This window comes from Homo sapiens, chromosome 14 (genome assembly GCF_000001405.40).
Source record: "Homo sapiens chromosome 14, GRCh38.p14 Primary Assembly".
NCBI lineage: Eukaryota > Metazoa > Chordata > Mammalia > Primates > Hominidae > Homo > Homo sapiens.
Genome location: NC_000014.9, coordinates 70,043,939 through 70,062,722, shown reverse-complemented (window position 1 = coordinate 70,062,722; position 18,784 = coordinate 70,043,939). Strand labels below are relative to the sequence as shown.

The window sequence follows — 18,784 nt, the reverse complement described above, 5'->3', positions numbered from 1 at the left end:
GCAAGGTATAAAAAGATGTCAAAAGAAGTACCCAAAAAGGTAATAAAAATGTACAGTCGTGCATCACTTAGCAATAAGGATACATTCTGAGGAAGGTGTCCTTAAGCAATTTTGTCATCGTGGGAAAATTATAGAGTGTACTTTCACAAACCTAGATGGTGTAGCCTACAACACACCTGGACTATGTGGGCCTATTGCTCCTAGGCTACAAACCTGTACAGCATGTGCTTGTACTGAATATTGCAGGCAACTGTAGCACAATGGTATTTGTGTATCTAAACACATCTAGACATAGAAAAGGCACAGTAAAAATATCGTAGTATATAGCCTTATGGGACCACTATTGTAGATGTGGTCTGTCATTGAGCAAAACGTTTTTATGTAGCATGTGACTGTACTTGTAAAGTACACACACCACAAATGCACAGCAAGTCCTGTGCCCTACAAGCCCCTTTGGGTCAGTCTACTACATTATAAATGGCAAAGCCGAGCACGCCCACAGAAGGTAGCAGGAACATCAGAGGATCTGAAGAGACATTTAGGTAAATGCTCTTTACCCTTTAGAGCATTTAGTTCTTAGCCTCCCCTCCCCCAATCTCCCCCCCGCCCCCCGCCAAAAAGAAAAAGAAAAAGAAAGCAGAAAATTACAATTCTGGCTCACTAGTAGGACCTGCTAGCCACCATTGTGATTCCATGAAGGACCAGAAGAAACCATATAGGAAGAATCAGGCCCACACGGCAACCTCTCCACATGACAAAGAGCCAGTCTTTGGAGGGCAGTGAATTTCAAGGAAAGTTTTCTTCCCTGGGTGACTTGTTTTTAAAAGATGTTATGTTTTGTTGAGATACCCAGAGATGAACAGAAACTTCCATCACCTTGTGCCCCAGACCCATGATAATTCACATTGAGGAAACCAGTTTTGGAACACATCACCCCTAAGTGATAGAAGCCCAAAGGTGATTTAGAATTTGATGATTTACATCATTTTCTTCACATTTTCCCAGAAATGCATCAGCTGTAAATAGTAAAGGATTCCTATGTAATATTGTGGTTAATACATATTTATTTTAGTTCCCACCACTGAAGCCCTATGAGATAAAGAATGAGAAAGATCACACAATTCTACCTCCCTTTCTTCTCTCTCTCTCTCTCTTTCTCTTTCTCTCTCACTCTCTCTCTCTCTCTCTCTTCTCTTCCTCTGTCTGGTTTTCCTTCCTCATAAATACTTTTCTTTTAAAATTTTCTTTCTGAAACTCACAATGGAAGTGAGTATAGACATAAAGAAGGGACACAAGCCCTGGGTTCTGTTGACATATTCCCTGTTGTGGGAAGACCCTGGGTTATTCCCAGTGGGTTAGTAGTTTACCTGTTGCCCAGAGAAATGCCACTGTTATCATGTGACACCCAGTGGAATGTGCTGCCTGACTCACTTCCTACTAACTGTTGGCAAGGTCTAAAATGACTCCTCCTCACCATTACCCGCCTTCTGCCTTCTCCTCCCCTTCTGTCCTTCTGGCTCCCTTCCTTTGCCCACCTTTCCTTGCCTCCTGGCTCCCTGCCCCCTCACCCGTAAGAACAACTATGACCAAGAAGACAAGAAAAACTAAGACCATTTATTACCTGAGAACAACACAATCCACCATGGTCCTGTTGAAAGCCACCATGGTGGGACTGGACTGCATGTGCCAGGAATGACGGGGAATGATTTTAAAGGCTGTGCTCCAGGTGACCAACCAATCTACCGACCCAGTCGACACACTCTCTCTCTTGTTGTCCCTACAGGAAAACCATAAGGGTTAAAATAGTAGATGAGGAGGAATACGAAAGGCAAGAGAATTTCTTCATTGCCCTTGGTGAACCGAAATGGATGGAACGTGGAATATCAGGTGTGAGATTCTTTAAAAACAAAACAACAAAAAAAAAGAAAGAAAAATTAAAACAAACTGAAAAACAACAACAAAAAAGAAAAAGCAGCTATATTTTTGTCTCCCTCCTTTTCTTCCCTTCTCCTCCTTTCTCTTTTTGACCAATGGATTTTTTTATTCTTTTCCCTCCTGTATTCTCGCTCTCACCCTGTTTCGGTATCATCTCTGCCTTCTTAGCCTTAGCTTATTCCAAATTCCTCCTTTACCGCCTTCTGGGCAGCACTGCAGCCTCAACTCCTCATTACCCTAATGAGTTATTTCCCTGTTTTGCTACAATTTTCAATTATTCAATTGCCATGGGCCCCTGCACTCTCCCCCACCCCACCCCTACACTGTAACCTGTAAATGTGAAAATTCCTTGGTGGGTGGGGAGGAGAAGAAAAAAAAGGAATGTGATGCGATGCATGCCTGTGCCCCTTCCTGCCTTCCTCCCCTGCCACCCCTCACTCTTTAGCCTGGATTGAATGTGGGGGGGTCTGGGATGGGGGTTGGGGCCTGGGTTGCAATGATGCTTTGACAGTTTTCTGCTGCATTCCCCAACTTCCTTTGAACGCTTGGCAGGTTATTCACTTGTGGAGTGGCCCATAGGCCCCTCTGCCCTTCGAGGAGGTAAGTGTATTTTCTGGCTGTTTCACAGTTGGGCAGACCGTGGCATGGGAAAGTGTACCAATTGTCAGAAGCCACGGCTTCTGAGAGCTCTGAGAGAGAGAGTTGACTTCTGGGGTAATCATGCAATCTGGAATTCTGAGCTATTCTTCCTCCTCTGGGCATCCCACCCCATGCCATTCTATGTTCCTAGCCCAAGGTTGGGTGCCTCATTCAGGCTACTTTGGGACAATGCAACCTCTAAAGCAGAAAATTGAGAGTTCCTGAAGGGAAGGAAATAGTTCCAGGTATGAAAATTCCCGTAGCCAGGGGCCCCAGAAAAGGACTGACATTGGGCAGGCCTGGAGTGTTGACTTGTGGATTTTCCAACAGAAGAGACTCTAAATGATGCAGTTGGTGCTGATCCCTGACAGACAGGTGTTGGAAAGGTCACAGATGTCTGCCTTTGCTTGGCATCTGCAAGAGAAAGTACCGCCCAGATCCCAAGATAGCCCTCATCCCACACTAGAGAAGTGGCCTCATCTCCTGCTTTCCTCAGGACCTGCATCTGAGAATACCTGCCAGGGGCTCATCCCTAAAGGACTGATTATGTTGCAACCAGGGTAGAAGTAAGGAAGGATTTCTTCCCTTGAAGAAAATGATTGGAAGCCACTACTTTGAATGGCTTCCAATCATTTGGAGGCATAGATGTGGGAATGGGTTAGGGTGCTCCTGGGAAATAACAAGAGGACGTTCACACTCCCATTCAGGAGAGATATGCTGCTGGGAGCCTCCTAGCAAATGAAGCAGTGAAATCCACCTGTTTGTCAAAAAGGGGTGATCATACTGCAATTAGTTCATATTCATGTGACAAAGAGCAGCATAAAACTTTCCACACGAGGACAGAGCTAAGAGATTCAGCAACAACATTCCCAAAGGATTCTCTACAGGCCTTCTCAGTGTGATTGGTCATTTCTCATTGTCTGCTGGGGACTCTCCTGCAGAGCTGACCACTTCTGTGCCTGCGCTGGTTTGGACACACCTGATGCTCTAGGGGCAGAACTCCTCTCCTTCTTCACTGCTGGTTCTCTTCGTCACCACTCAATAAAACGTTGCCCTCAGCCTGACTGCCAAAAAGTGCTGGAAGAAAGAAATTATCTCTGGTTCTATTGTTTCCCACATTGTATTCTTGCCCAACTTCCAGTTCTTGCCACCAACAATATTCTCAGAGGTTGCCTCAGCACCTGCCCTACCTCATTCCCACCTCCCTTGAGCATTTATTCCATGTATTCATAATTGGTTGGAAGCAGCAGATACCCAAGGCCAATTGTAAGTCACCTTCATCAGTTTCCACAGTCCAAGCTACTTAGATGCAAACGAAAGCAGCACATGTACAGCGTACAGGAAGGAAGGCAGTGGTTCCAGACAAGAGGAAGAGATTGGAAGTCCATACATGCCTTTATTCCACCAGTAAAAAGGCTCTTCTCTTATGCCTCCCTTAAAACCTCTACCAACAGCAGGACAGAGAGTGACCCAAGATAAGTCTTCAAGAGACCTAACCAAATGCAAATGTCTTTGGCTAATCCCCATTTAAGGACATCTTCCTGTTTTGCACAGATTCTTTGCCCAAGGAAATGTCAGCAATGCCCTCGTGGAGGGAGTAGGTGAGAAGACAAGGATTTCAGCAAGCTATCTGTGTGGTGTGCCCCCAGATCTCCCCAGTGACCGAGATGCCAAGATGAAGAGTGCCAAGAAGAAATTGGTCAATTTTCCAGCTGCCTATTTTATTGTCTATGTTTTCTAGGCGGTTAATTTCCAGTTTCTTCAGTACTTCCCGTATTTTGACATTAGACCATAAGGTGAAAGGTCATAAAACCTGATTGTCTAGACTCAGAAGCAAATGGAAACCCATCCAAATTTCCAGAATTCCCTGCTGTTCTCAGAGTGAGAAACAGAACAGTGGAAATTGCTTTTCATTATCACTACTGCATGGGAGAGTCTGAAACATTCAGAATGGCATAGTCTTTGCATGGTCAAAATGACAATTGCATTAAAAAAATGAGAGACTGGATTTGAAATAGGAGACTCTATTTTTGGCAAACAAAACAGACTTCAGAGTTGAGATTAAAAGCTCTGGATGAGCTGGGGGATGGAAAAAAGGGAAGGAAAAAAGGGAGACTGAATAGGAAACACAGTTGCTCTGGAGTCTAGAAGTGGACTTCCGAGAGCAACACTGAGCAACATAATCAAGACTGTTGGGCCTGGGCCTGGACATTGGAAGCCTTCGGATAGAAAGGAAAGCTCTCTGTCTCTCTCTCTCTCTCTGAAGAATGGGGCCTGTTTGGTCCTCCTTTTTCGACAACCGTGGGCTCATCTTGACAAGCTGCCCAGATGCTTCCTAATTACTCACAGTCCTATGCTCTTTCCAGCTTGTCCCTGGGGTGTCTGAGCAGGAATAAATGACTCTCACCTGACCCAGGGGATCAATACAGGGGAAAGTTCAGCTCCAGCTTCTCTCATGAGCAGCAGCAGGAAAAACACCCTCGAGGTATTGTGTCAGTCAAAGCTGGCCTACCCAGGTCTTGCTGACCCATCTATAACTGCTGAGCAGAAAGTCTTGGATTCATGGAGACAATGACCAGAGAATGATGGAATTCCAGCCAACTGCAGGCCTTCTCACTACTCTAGGGATGGGCCAGATGTTCGGTGGCATGTATGAGTGAAAACCAGGGCATCAGGGACCTTTCTGGAAGAGCTGCCTTTGTCTGACCCACCTGTGTTCATTTATGTGCTGGGATCTCTGATCTCCCCTGGAACTTGGGGGAAGCTCTTCCACGCAAACTCCCGGAAGGAGCAGAATAAACAAGCTCTTGCCTATCTATCTATCTATCTATCTATCTATCTATCTATCTATCTACCTATCTGCCTATCTATATCTATCTATCTCAATGTAGTGAGGAAAGCCATTGATCCATTAACCTTTGGAATTCTACATGGGAGATACCTAAAAAAGTGAACTGCCTTGTTTATGTATCATGCAGACTCTGGATCCACATATATCTCAGTGGCTGTGAATATAGGATGATTGATCACAGGCCTGAGTTGCATTCCTACAGATTCTTAGGAAAAAAATTGATTCACAGACATGTCCCCCCTGGTTCCCCCACAACACACACTCCTTCCTCAGCAATCTCTATCAGTCACCAACTACACGTTGAATATGTGGCAAGCTCTTCCCAGACCTTTATCTGAGAGCCAAGGAGTGAGGGGCTGTACTAAGATATCATAGAAATGAAAATGTGGTGTGTCACAAGTTTCCTTAATTCTTAGATCTTAAACTCTAAGAGGGTTCAGCATAAGTACAAATTCAAGGGCTAGAGACAACCTGTATTGGGTGTGTCTTTAACTCAGTTTCCCAATCCACATAGGGACCTTGCATTTGTCATCTCTCATCTATGTATAGCTGTTGGTATGACAGTTTCTCTGTTCCAGAATACCTGAACTCTGACTTAGCCTGTCCTTTCTGAAACAGAAAAATCACCCAACCAGAGATCTATGAGATCTATGGAAAAGACAGTTGCCAAAATAGACAGCAAACAGCCAAACTTAATTGAACACTACCACATGCAGGGACTTTGCTAAGCAGAGGTGATACAAAATGGGAGGAGCCCATAGCCCTAACTTCCAGGATATATCTACGGTAAAGACAAACCATTCAAGGAAAACATTCTGCAGGACTTACCTTTTTGCTAAGTCATTCTTTTAGGGGAAATCAAAGTTCTAGTCAACGTGGCAGCTAGGAAGGCATTTGTGGTGATGGAAACCTTATGAGCACTGAGAAGCTGAGCATGAGTTCAGCTAAGTCGTTAGGGATGGAAGACATAGACCTGGGCACTGTTCCACTCTTGCACAATGCTACCCATTTCCTTGAGCTCCCATTCAAGCCCCATGGTCATTTTTGCCACTCATAAGTTAGCTACTCTGGCAGGGTTGCAACTTACACAGTTTTCATGATAACTGGATTCTCACTCCTTTTTTTACAGAATGGATGTGATAACCTGGTATCCTACACAGTCATGAGTGACCAACCTACCCATTTGGTTCCCCATCCTCATTCCTCCATTCCTAGCCCTAGGGTAGCCGGGAAAGCATAGGAGCAAATGCCCTTACCAGGGCCCTGGTGCTCAGCAGCCTCTCCGGCTGCTCACACCTCTTGCTGCTGCTCTGTGCATGCTCCAAAGGCTTCTTTTTGCGTATGGCTGCTGAGCTCTCACCTACTAAGCTCTCTGCTTTCCTTATGCTGCCAGCAACCACAAAACCTGGTGATACTTTCAAGATGGGACATTAATGCTCTTTCCTTTTCTTTCTTCCATTTTTCTGGTATCCATTTGCAAACAGCGCTCCTGTTATCTCCAGGTAAGAGGTGTCTTGTCCCCCTCTTTTCTTTCCACTTCTTGCCAGTGCCATTATTTGGTTTAAGACCAATGTCCTTTGATTTATTGAATAAGAACTGCAGGCTCAAGTTAACCTGACAATTTCTCCCAAGGACTGGGAGATTTATTTTCCCACATGAAGAAATTATGAGAAAGCAATTGTGAGGAAGGCAATTCCTTGAGCATCACTTCTGTCTGGGGACGTGGGTTAAGGCATAGCTGATCCTCTCTGGGACCAGGAAGAGAAATTAAGCTTAACAAGGAGATGGTGGGTCATAGACTTCTCCTGAGTCTTAATTCATCTGCCATCTCATGTTGTGGGGGAAGAGACAGTGAGATTCAGAGCTGGAATCTCCTAATATAATTGTGACAGGATTTGAAAAAAAAATACTTTAATCCCAAGGGATCCAGGAAATAACCAAACCTGTTGTGAGAATAGGAAATGCAATTTTTAAAGAATCTGGAATTTTACCAGTCCTGGAGATCTTCCATCTCATCACAGCTGAGACTTAAATTGCTAGAATTTTGGTTCATTTGTCATTGACCCTTAAAGTCCTATGTGCCGTGAACAAGATGAATTAGGATGGGGGATTGGGGCAGTGTTCTGGCTGGAAATATAAATTTTAGAGAATTTATTTTGAAGAGATTCTCATGCAGAATCTAGGTGCTATAGAGGACGTACACCTACTTTGAGAGTATGCTTGCATGAGTGGAAACCAATCATAAACAACATTCAACTTCATGAGCAGATATGAAAGCATTTTCAGCATATCTAGCAATACTATAACTCTTTGTGCAAGCAGAGTGGCCTACACAAGACAGTTTCAATATATTTTAAAAGAACGTCTTACATTTCATCAGTCCTTTGAACACAGAAAAAAATGTTAAGGCCACTTAAGAGGCAAAACATCTTACAGAGTTCATTTATATTCAAAGTCACCTACAGGCTACATCTTGGGTTCAGGAAGGGGCGGTGTACATAGTAAGGACATAAGCCTTCTGGGAGCCTTAAACAAACAAAAAAAATGTAGGTAACTCCTACATTTTTCTTTTGTGGAAAAAACACAGTTACTCCAGCTTCCTTGGCTTTTTGCTTCTTTTTTATACCAACAAAATAAGGGCTATCCTCAACCCTCTGTTCTTCATTCTTCTCCCAGGGTATTGATTTCATAACATTGGGTTTTTCTTCTCTACTTCACTCATCCTCTTGCCTGTGAAGGTATGTAAGGCTTCTTTGTTCCAACTCTTTCCTCCACCCGCCCCCCCTCACATAAATGCATAACAAAGATTGTGATTTAATTTAAGTTTCTTTCTACTTTTAACATATTTGCAAACATCAATAGAAGCTAAAATGGGAAAAAGGAAATGTTTCTTTTCCTAGCTCTTTCAATCTGTAAGCCTTTAATTTAGGAGCGCTGATTAGCCTTTCAATTCGTTGGAAATCTCAAATACTGGTTTTAATTTTCCTAGGTGGACAGAGACAGAGGGAATATGTTCATTCTGAGCTAACCACCCCCCCACCCCCAAGCTCAGGCGCCTTGCAGGAAGAGCACTAGCTACATCACTCTGCAGAGTGTTCACAACATCCTATTCTTGTCTGGCCTGGCAAGCTCTTTGTCCTTCCAATATTTGTTCAATCTTCCATCCTATTCATATTCTATCTTTCTCTCCCCTCCCAGCCTCTCTTCCTGTTCCTAGAACTGAGAGTTTATTTAGTCAGTCTGAATATCTAGATCACCTGCCATTTATTCTCTTTACTTGAAATTCTGAGGAGTCACATAAACAAGATATCAGAATCACTATGGTCCTCTAAATTGAAGACTTATAATTCTCTCAAGAAATTAACAACATTTGAATTTAAAGGAAAGATCATGACAAAAATAGAAAAAGGCAGGAATTATTGCCAAACCGAGAAACTAGAAACTAGAATTAACTTAAAGGCATGTGACTCAATCAATTAACAAATATATACAGAGAGCCTCTGTGGGACTGTGGGAGATCCAAAGATAGAGGATTGGTTATTTGTCAAAGGGATTTTTGCAGAAAGCTAGATGGAAAAACTGACTGTCACCACAGAGGTGGACAGGTCAGTAAGTAGATCAATATCCTGCCAGATGGATATAGTGCTAGATTGATAGGTAGACAAGGGGTTAGACAGGTACATTTATATGTCACTGGAGAGCTCATTATATTGGTATAAAGTTATTGTGTCACATGTAAAGTATGACATGGGGGAATTGGGGAGGAAGGAGTGGAATAATACTGTCGCTGCTAAGATAGGCATTGTGATATGGTGCTTAAACCTGCAAGTAAAGGAAAAGAGTATGGAATCTGTGTGTCTTTTTCTAAGGGCTTTTTCCCAGAGTAGCTTGCAGTCTGGCTTCTAGGGTTGCTGGCCTATAGCCAGAACCCTAGATTCACCCAGATTTACCTTCAGAATTAACTAATCAGAGACTCAAATTCAATAGACTAAATGAAGTCAGGCTGCTAGAGGATGTCTGCTGACTTGGACATATGCAGAAAGACATGGATCCTTGAGAAAACATTGTTTCCAAAAGTGGCCACCAGCACTAGAGGAAGGACAGCACCACGGACAGCTCCCAGACATTTTAGGATTGCCTTCTGTGTTTGGTGCCCGAACACTGAGCAAAACAGCGAACTCAGGAAGTCTCCACACACTCTCATACCATCTTCATGCAGTCCAACTAAGAAAATTCTTACATAAAATATAAGGCTGTCTGCTTGGTAATTTAAACCCTTGGCTTATAGTCTTTTCAGTGAATTTCTTTCCTTGCAAACTCGAGAGTTGGAGTCTCACGACTGCCCTTGCTTCACCAATTCCCCAGCTAGAGACAAAAGACCTTCTTGGCCTCTGACCCATTTTGTCCTTGAGATTATCCAAGGACTACAGGATTCCCCTAGGAGGTTTACTGTGTGGAATGAAAGCAATTAAGGAGCTGAATAAAAGAAATAATTGCATGTGAGAATGTGGACTTGGATGGGAAGATGTTTAAATGAGCTCTGAAAGAAACAAGCTGCCAAGAGCAATTTTCTAATTAAAGGGGAATAAAAAGATTCAATCTCTATTTCACTCTAATCCAGAAAACATGTCTTCATGGAGAAGTGCTCTTAAAATGGACTCATCAGCCAAAGTGGAAAAACAAAAAACAAAAAAACTGTTCAACATGAGAAGGGACCATTGGTAAATGAGTCAAGATGCTGTGAAACCAGTAGACATTTCCTTTGAATAAATGTACTTCTGCACCTTCAAGAACTCTTACAGGAAGTGGTTGAACAAACAGGCCCAAAAGTTCAAAATAGTTCAAGGTCAAAACACTTGCCCTTTCTTCCCAGTTCCCCAACATCTCACTGAGTGTCTTGAGAACTTCACTTGATGCTATTTCTCAGGAGATGTTTAGGTCAGGTTGTCCACCCAGGTATAAAAGAGAAAGAGGAACGCTTATCCCAGTCTGCAAGGCACATTCTCATGGTCTGGTTATAAAGTGTTTAGTACTTCATAAAAAAGGCACTAAAAATATATATAAACTCCCCATTCCCAAGAGTTATTTGCTTTGTACCCACTGCCCATGCCTAATACTCTGAGCTGTATCCTTCCAGGGAATGGAAAAGGTGTTAAAGCGAGTCTGATTTTGTTTTGTTGCAGATGTGACAGACAGGAAGCTGACTATGGAAGAAGAGGAGGCCAAGAGGATAGCAGAGATGGGAAAGCCAGTATTGGGTGAACACCCCAAACTAGAAGTCATCATTGAAGAGTCCTATGAGTTCAAGGTCAGGCAAACAGTGAGGTCTAATTGAATAATAAATAAATTAAAGTGGGAGGCAGAAGACCTGGGGTGTTTTTTTCCACTTTCACTAGTGAATATGTGAAGTTGAAACTGAACAAATCACTTACCCACCCCAGGTCTCAGTTTCCCCATTTGTAACATGAAACAAATAGTGCTGACCATTTGTATGCTAGGAATATTGTTAGGAAACATAATATAGAATGTGAAATAAGTGGACTAGAAAGTCCTGAGATGTATTATCATTATTGTTTAACTGTGTTTTTAAAGCAAAAATATTAAAACTCACTACTACAGGGCAAGATATATTAACATCATTATTATTATTCATTATTGTATTATTCTAAATAGCCAATTTCAAAAGTCACAACCAGGCCAGGCAGTGAGGGACTCACGCCTGTAATCTCAGCACTTTGAGAGGCCGAGATGGGAGGGTCACTTATACCTAGGAATTTGAGACCAGCCTGGGCAACATAGGGAGACTCCATCTCTATAAAAAATAAAACAAAATAAAAATCAGCTCAGTGTGGTTGTACATGCCTGTGGTCCCAGCTACTCAGGAGGCTGAGGTGGGAGGATGGCTTGAGCCCAGGAGGTTGAGGTTGCAATGAGCCATGATTGCACCACTGCACTCCAGCCTGGGTGACAAAGTGAGACCCTGTCTCAAACAAAACAAAACAAAAAGATTACAACCAAAAACAAAGGGAAATAGAAGGATTGCCTCAAAAGAGATCGCCCAAGGCCATTCCATGCGTAACTGTCAGAACACCTTGGAGACAGGGCATCTTTCATTCCTTTGAAGAACCAGACTCCTCATTGGTTCTGAGCATTCTAACCTCATGGTTCCAAGTTTTTCTCTTCTTAACAGACTACGGTGGACAAACTGATCAAGAAGACAAACCTGGCCTTGGTTGTGGGGACCCATTCCTGGAGGGACCAGTTCATGGAGGCCATCACCGTCAGTGCAGGTGAGAAGTGTCTCAGGCTGGCCTTGCTGGGAGAAGCAGGCAACCTCTGAGAAGGAAGCGTAAAGCCACGTTAACAGCCTGCCAGTCCCTAGGAAGGCTTGTGTGTTCAGTCTTCCCAGCTCTGGTCCTAGGTGCCTGCTTGGAAAAGAATCATGGCGTATCTGAAAAACATGGTTATCTCTGGTTTCAAATCGTTGTTCTGCTGTGTGAACTGGAACAATGTACCCTCTCTGACCTCAATGTCCTCTTTCCAAAGGGGAACTATTGCTACCTTTCTCAGAAAAGTAGAAAGGTACAGAGTCTTGTATAAAATCCAAACTCAATAAATTCTGATTTCTGTCATTCTTTCTTTTCATGGGTTTGGTCCCGCTCTTCTGTAAAATGTGGGACAATTCTGATTTAGAGATGTGGGAGTTAGGAGTTTATAAAATGTGTTGCATTGACTCTCCAACAAAACACTCTGGATGATTCCATACCCCTCCCTCGGCATTTACTGACAGGCTCCCTCAGTAGTGACCCACAGCACAGCCGGGAGTCCTAGAAGCCTGAGGGGACTGCTGGTTGGAACAGGGACGGAAAAGGTCTCCCAACCACCATCACTATCACCTCTCAGCACCACTGAGGCCTCCTGGCCTTGTCTTTTATTGAGAGACTTTGTTGTCATAGCAACCCACAGGGTCATATCCCCAAGGCCCCAGAGCCAGAGCAAAAAGACAGCCAGGAAGAGAGGTTTGCTGCTGCTGCTGCTGCTGCTACCCCACTTTTCTCATCACCTGCTTTAGATCTTTCTAGCTCCCCCTCTGATGACCTGACTGTGCCCCTCAAGACAATAAACGGAATGTAGGCCACATCATCTACCCTGCTCCTTTTACAAAGGAGGGGACTGAGGTTCAGAAATAAGAGATGATTTACCCCAGCTTACAGATTTTCTTCATGGCAAAGCTGGAATGAGAACCCAAGTGTTCTGACTCCTGTTCTTTCAAACCCCAGCTTCTACCGGTTATGCCAAAACATGACAGAAGTTGCCGTTGGCAAGGCACAGGCATGCCTCAGCATACCCTCCCCTCCAGGGCTGCTGAGTGGGCAACTCTGCCCACATTTCCTGGCAAGGACAATCAAGGCCCATCCTGCTTTTTCCCATGAGATGTTTGGAGGAGGGCACTGGCTCTGCAGTATATTCTCGTGATCTGGAATGACAGCCATCCCTCAGGGGACAGATAATGACCAGAACCACAATGGTTATTGCAGCAGTCAGGTCAGAAAATTTGAGAGGAGCCCTGCTGGCATCCAGTGAAGAGTGGCCACACCGAACTGATTTCACTTCTCTCCTTAGACAACAAAATGCAGCCTGTGCATTCTCCTTTCTTTTTTTTTTTAATTATACATTAAGTTCTGGGGTACATGTGCAGAACATAGAGTTTTGTTACATAGGTATACACGTGCCATGGCGGTTTGCTGCACCCATCAACCCGTCATCTACATTAGGTATTTCTCCTAATGCTATCCCTCCCCTATCCCTCACCCCTGACAGGCTCCAGTGTGTGATGTTCCTCTCCCTGTGTCCATGTGTTCTCATTGTTCAACTCCCACTTATGAGTGAGAACATGCAGTGTTTGGTTTTCTGTTCTTGTGTTAGTTTGCTGAGAATGATGGTTTGCATCCTCCTTTCTTTCTGCTCCACTGTCTTGTCCCTCTTAATCTCCTTCTTTCTTCTCTTCCTTATTCCCTGGCCCTCTCTCTCCCACTCTACCTTGGTGCCCTGCATTCAAATTGACCTATGAGGCAGCCCAAATTGTTTCCCCACTATTTTCTGGCACGCTGGCCCTGGCCCCCACCAGCTGCCCAGAAGACAGCTGGAGTCCCCTTCTAGCGGATGATGCCTGTGGTGCGGGTTGGGCTTGACTTTCTCATGAATGATTATCTGACTTCGTTACCCGTTCTCTTGCCTGTTTATCTTGCCTTCAGCAGGGGATGAGGATGAGGATGAATCCGGGGAGGAGAGGCTGCCCTCCTGCTTTGACTACGTCATGCACTTCCTGACTGTCTTCTGGAAGGTGCTGTTTGCCTGTGTGCCCCCCACAGAGTACTGCCACGGCTGGGCCTGCTTCGCCGTCTCCATCCTCATCATTGGCATGCTCACCGCCATCATTGGGGACCTGGCCTCGCACTTCGGCTGCACCATTGGTCTCAAAGATTCAGTCACAGCTGTTGTTTTCGTGGCATTTGGCACCTCTGTCCCAGGTGAGAGTGAGAGGTGCTTGAATTTGCAAAGAGGATTTTACCTGGTTCAAATGACCCCTGGACTCCATCTCATTATCTTCCACACCATCTCAGATCTGAACTTAACAGAGCCTCTGCCCTTAAAGTGCACAAAAGTCAATCAAAGAGATGAATAATGACATTAGTAATGACAGCTAATATTTCTTGAGCACTTTCAATGTGACAGACACCATGTGTGTTCAGCAATTTACACATTTACATTTTCCCCCTGTAATGTTTCCCAAAGCCCTATTAAATAGGGTAAGTTATTATCCCCACTTCACAGACAAAGAAACTGAGGCCCACAGAGGTTAAGCTACATGCCCAAGTAAGTGGTCCAATTTCTTAACCTCCACATTATGTGAGTAGACCACAAACAGTGAAATTAAAAGAATGTAGATATTGTTCTCCTTCTATTTACCTCTGGCGATCTCTGAGAGGTTAAAGATTAGCCAGCTCAAAGATATCAAAGGAGAAATGCCCACATACATTCTTGGCCTCCTCTACTTGGAAGGACACTGTGAGTACAAAGTATCTCCTAGCAGGACAGCCAAAGGAAGTTCCACAGCTTTTATCTTTTTATAGGATGAATTACATACTCTTTCTTTTTCTTAGGAACACTCAGAGACAAACAGAAAGGAGCGGACATTCCTTTACTCATTGAACAAATATTTACTGAGCACCTATTATGCCTGTTACAGTATTGTGCTAGTTTTTGGGACTATAGTGAAAGGCAAGATACACATGCTTCCTTCTCCACGTGGAGTTTATAATCTACTGAAGGAGGCAACTCTCAACTACTGTAATTAAAGTTATCTTGTTAAATCCTAGGAAGAAAAAGAAAAGGTACTGCATACGGAAGGAAGTTGGGCCTGAATGTAGGAGTTAGCAGGTAGACAGGGGCTGCACTAGCCCAGGTTCTTTACTTAATTCAGTTAGGGGCTTTGGGGCCTCTGAACTCTGAACTTCTGCCAGGGAGCTGGCATCCCAGTTGCCCCAGAAAGAAACAGAGCACATCCTCCTGCAGGGAAGTTAGGCTGAATCTCATCAGACAGGACTTTTCTGGCTGGGCCAAGGGAAATCTTTCCTGTACCAAGCAAACATATCCTTCAAGAGAGTAGCTGAATTCACATCAAATTCTAGGAAAACCTCTTTCCAAAACCCCAGCGCAGGCCAGCGGTATTATTTGTCCATTAGTGATGCAAGAGATTTAGCTATCGTGGAAATGCATCAGAAGGTTGGAAATTAGATGGATGATCCCAGGAAGGCCTGTGGATGAGATGCCCTGTGATCTCTGTTCTCCAAGCCTTGGGGGACCTGAACTATCAGAGGGGAGGGAGGAAATATGGGGGAAAGCATAGAGGTGGGAAGAAATATCAGAGGATCAGAAGCAAAAAACAACAATAACAACAGAAACAAAAACAAACAAACAAACAAAAAAACAAGGCCATAGGCAAGAAAGGGTAAGAGGTTTTCTCTGGGAGATCTAAAAAAAATGGCAATAATGAGGTAAGCCAGGCAGATACCTTTGGGCATCTCCAAGTCCTTGCAATTGGCCAAGACAACAGCTAACAACATTTGAGGCTTTAAGAAGGTTACCCTGTGATCCACTCATCTGATTTAGTGGCTTTGGCTGAAGCTCTTTGGATATAGTTGAAGGTATGGAAAGGGTCCTTACATGAGGACTTTAGGGTCAAGTCTCTTGCTAACATCCTATGTGACCTTGGGTAAATTCTTTGACCCTTATTTTTCTTACCTGTAAAATAAAAGAATTGGGCTAGATGTCTCTGACAGTCCTCCCTGTATCTACAATCTGTGCCAAGATCTAAAGTCAAACACCCTGCAAGGCCCTGTGATACATATATAAACCACAAAGACAGAGCCCCGTCTTCCTTGAGTCCACAGTTCACCCTGCATGTCCCCATCATGGTTCCCCAACATGTCCTCTGTCCCCAAAATCCAGCACCTCACCCAGTGCTCAATCAGTAGGCATTGCTCAATAACTGTTGGTGGTTCGTGAATAAATGCCCCATATGACAGTTAAAATCAGGCATCTACTCCAAGCAGCTTCCCAGGGTGTCAAGGTTCCCTGGGGAGATATTATGGGATGGCAAACTTCCCTTACTGAAAAAGTAGTCAAAGGAGAACAATAAGCCCACTCAGTAAATATCAGAACTGGAAAGCCCTTCAGAATCTTTCAGATCACTGCAGATGAGGAATGGGAAGCCCAGACTAGGGATGTGACCTACCCAGGGCCACACGGCTTGCTTGCGGCAGAACTAGGAGTTAGGAGTGGCCCCCTAGCCCTTGTCTCTCATTCCTGGGTTCAGCCCACCAGCTCAAGCTGCTTTTTGGGCATACTGGAAGACAAGCCCTGCACACCTTAGCCTCCTACCAGTTCCCATGTGTCTTTGTCCTTTTCCAGATACGTTTGCCAGCAAAGCTGCTGCCCTCCAGGATGTATATGCAGACGCCTCCATTGGCAACGTGACGGGCAGCAACGCCGTCAATGTCTTCCTGGGCATCGGCCTGGCCTGGTCCGTGGCCGCCATCTACTGGGCTCTGCAGGGACAGGAGTTCCACGTGTCGGCCGGCACACTGGCCTTCTCCGTCACCCTCTTCACCATCTTTGCATTTGTCTGCATCAGCGTGCTCTTGTACCGAAGGCGGCCGCACCTGGGAGGGGAGCTTGGTGGCCCCCGTGGCTGCAAGCTCGCCACAACATGGCTCTTTGTGAGCCTGTGGCTCCTCTACATACTCTTTGCCACACTAGAGGCCTATTGCTACATCAAGGGGTTCTAAGCCACACAACAGAGCCTCCAGCAGGGCAGGCCTAGGACTTCTCCTAAGAGAAGGGCACTTCCCCACCAGTGATCTCTCCCGACTGCACTGCCCTGGAGAGGCAGCATCAGGACCTAAGCCCCAGGAACTTCACCCAACTTAGGCCCTGGCAATTAACTGAAAGGGCAAAGTCTTAATCAATCAAACAATGGAGGAATCACCGACTTTACACAGTATTTAATTGAATACAAACAAGCAACAGCAACAAATCCACCTCCACCCCATCTCCCCCTCATATCCCTGACCCAAAGCAAAGGTCAGAGCCTTTCGCCTCCTTCTATTCCATCTTTTGATTATTCCTTTGCCTCTCATTTCTTTGGAAGCAGGGTTTCTCCTCTCTGCCCAATTCCATATGTCCCTATTATCTCACTCAGCTGACAAGACGTGAAAATGAGTCACATTCATGTGGCTGGGGTGGGGTTCTTTTTTCATTGTAATCATTATTGTGGTTGCTTTCGTTTTGCCATTAGGTTTTGCTTATTATTTTGTTTTGTCTTTTTTTTCTGAAGTGAGTGAAAAAGGTGCCACAAAGGAATTCCAGGTCCGAGCCAACAGAGAGAAACATGAATTTTTAGACACATGCTCTCCTGCCACCTCTTGGCTCCATCAAGATCCAGTTCCCCATCTCACTGTTTTCTCTGAGTTCTTGGGAGGAGTGATGGTGTTGGGGTAGAAATAAGCTCACTCACCCACGCAGGGTACTAAAGATCTTACAGGAGCTTCAACTGGAGCAGGAGGAGCTTTTTATGCTTATGTTGAATCAAGTCAGATACAAAAAGCAATTGTCCCTCTTTGCCCAAGCCTTTCCAATTCTGTGTGTCTTGTTGTGTCAGTGTCCACTTGTGTATCCTTCTGCAGGAAGACCCGCCAAATAGAAGAGATGGGACAAAAATAGGAATGGTGTGTGACGACAAAGGGCTACTGGAAGAACAAAAGGGATACAGGCCTTCTTGATTATCTTTGGCTTTGTACCTGAGGCAGGAGAGAAGAGATGTCCAACCAGTGAGATCTTTAAGAGAAAAGTTTGTATTTTAAATGTCAATGTGCCTGAGAAATGTCAGCTTCACCACGCTCTTGCTTCCTAATGCTCTATACAAAGAGGGCTGACTATATTTCTTGAAGTGGTGTAAAAACTTAGAGATTTTATAAGAGAACCAGGGGCTCCCTTCACCTCTCCTGGTCCCTCAGGTCACATATGAAAGCATTTTTACAAGATAGGAACTGGAATTCCTCATTTCTCCCATGTTCCTGCTTGTTCTTAAACTTCATGAAGCTATTTTTCCAGCCTATGGGGTAGTTCTTGCTCCAGTAAGAGGAATCTTAGTTGTCATAATCCCTTGGAGCCTGGGTTTTTGGAGAAAGAGATCTCCGTGCCCTACAGACCTTTTCTCAACGAATGTGGGAAGGACCTGGCTTTAAAACACGCACACAAACACACAAATAAACAGACATAAGATGTCATCACGAAACTGCCCACGGATCTTTAGGCTTTCTGCATTGACATAAATACATTTTCTAAGGGGGGGGGGGAAGAAATTAAAAAACACCTGTTAATTTTAAACACATTTTTTAAGAAAAAAATAATTAAAAAAGAAACAGTGCTCATGTCATAAGCTATGTTGACAGTTGCCAGTGGAAATGTTGGGTTGGTTCAAAAAAAAAATAAAAGCTATACTATATCTCTCTACATACAGCTTGCTTCTACCTGTGTTTCTTCAGTGAAAGGTCCAGGGGGCCACTGTGGGCTTCTTGTGAGGAGACGTGACTCAGGTGAAGGTGTCACCTCCTCTCACACTCAGGTGCCAATGTGTCAGACCCAGTATATTCTAAGCAAAAATACTTCAGGAAAATGCCACTTGTCAAAACCTGGACTTTGCGAAGTTGGAAGATGTAAGTAGTAGTAAAAGCTGTGGTAATTATGGAGGAAGGAGGTTTCTGTATCAGAAAGGCATTGGCCGTGACAGACTCC

At 44.3% G+C, this 18,784-nt stretch overlaps 1 protein-coding gene across 14 annotated transcripts in view, besides 4 other annotated features; it reads left to right on the top strand.

Moving 5' to 3' along the window:
• SLC8A3 (solute carrier family 8 member A3) overlaps positions 1-18,508 on the top strand; it is a 145,191-nt gene extending 126,683 nt beyond the window's left edge. For 3 of the 14 annotated variants that reach the window (XM_017021606.2, NM_183002.3, XM_006720240.4), the window contains 6 exons: positions 1,784-1,887; positions 6,910-6,927; positions 10,609-10,733; positions 11,616-11,715; positions 13,681-13,956; positions 16,400-18,508. In XM_017021606.2, coding sequence (XP_016877095.1) covers positions 1,784-1,887; positions 6,910-6,927; positions 10,609-10,733; positions 11,616-11,715; positions 13,681-13,956; positions 16,400-16,776 — 1,000 coding nt within the window. In that variant the 3' untranslated portion in view covers positions 16,777-18,508. The remainder of the gene's footprint in view (positions 1-1,783; positions 1,888-6,909; positions 6,928-10,608; positions 10,734-11,615; positions 11,716-13,680; positions 13,957-16,399) is intronic. The other 11 variants (NM_001438069.1, NM_182932.3, NM_001130417.3 and 8 more) reach the window with 7 other exon arrangements.
• Positions 968-2,167: an enhancer, noted in NCBI's record as "CDK7 strongly-dependent group 2 enhancer chr14:70527273-70528472 (GRCh37/hg19 assembly coordinates)". NCBI's record gives its function as "activates an origin of replication core promoter dependent on BRD2, BRD4, P300/CBP, MED14 and CDK7 cofactors, with strong dependence on CDK7, by STARR-seq in HCT116 cells {active_cell/tissue: HCT116}" and the evidence as "EXISTENCE:reporter gene assay evidence [ECO:0000049][PMID:35650434]".
• Positions 9,444-9,644: a silencer, noted in NCBI's record as "peak2186 fragment used in MPRA reporter construct". NCBI's record gives its function as "represses an SCP1 promoter by STARR-seq MPRAs in K562 erythroleukemia cells {active_cell/tissue: K562}" and the evidence as "EXISTENCE:reporter gene assay evidence [ECO:0000049][PMID:32103011]".
• Positions 9,444-9,652: a biological region, named in NCBI's record as "MPRA-validated peak2186 silencer".
• Positions 9,451-9,652: a silencer, noted in NCBI's record as "fragment chr14:70519788-70519989 (GRCh37/hg19 assembly coordinates)". NCBI's record gives its function as "represses an EF-1alpha promoter that drives an FKBP-Casp9 reporter gene in an ReSE screen in HepG2 liver carcinoma cells {active_cell/tissue: HepG2}" and the evidence as "EXISTENCE:reporter gene assay evidence [ECO:0000049][PMID:32094911]".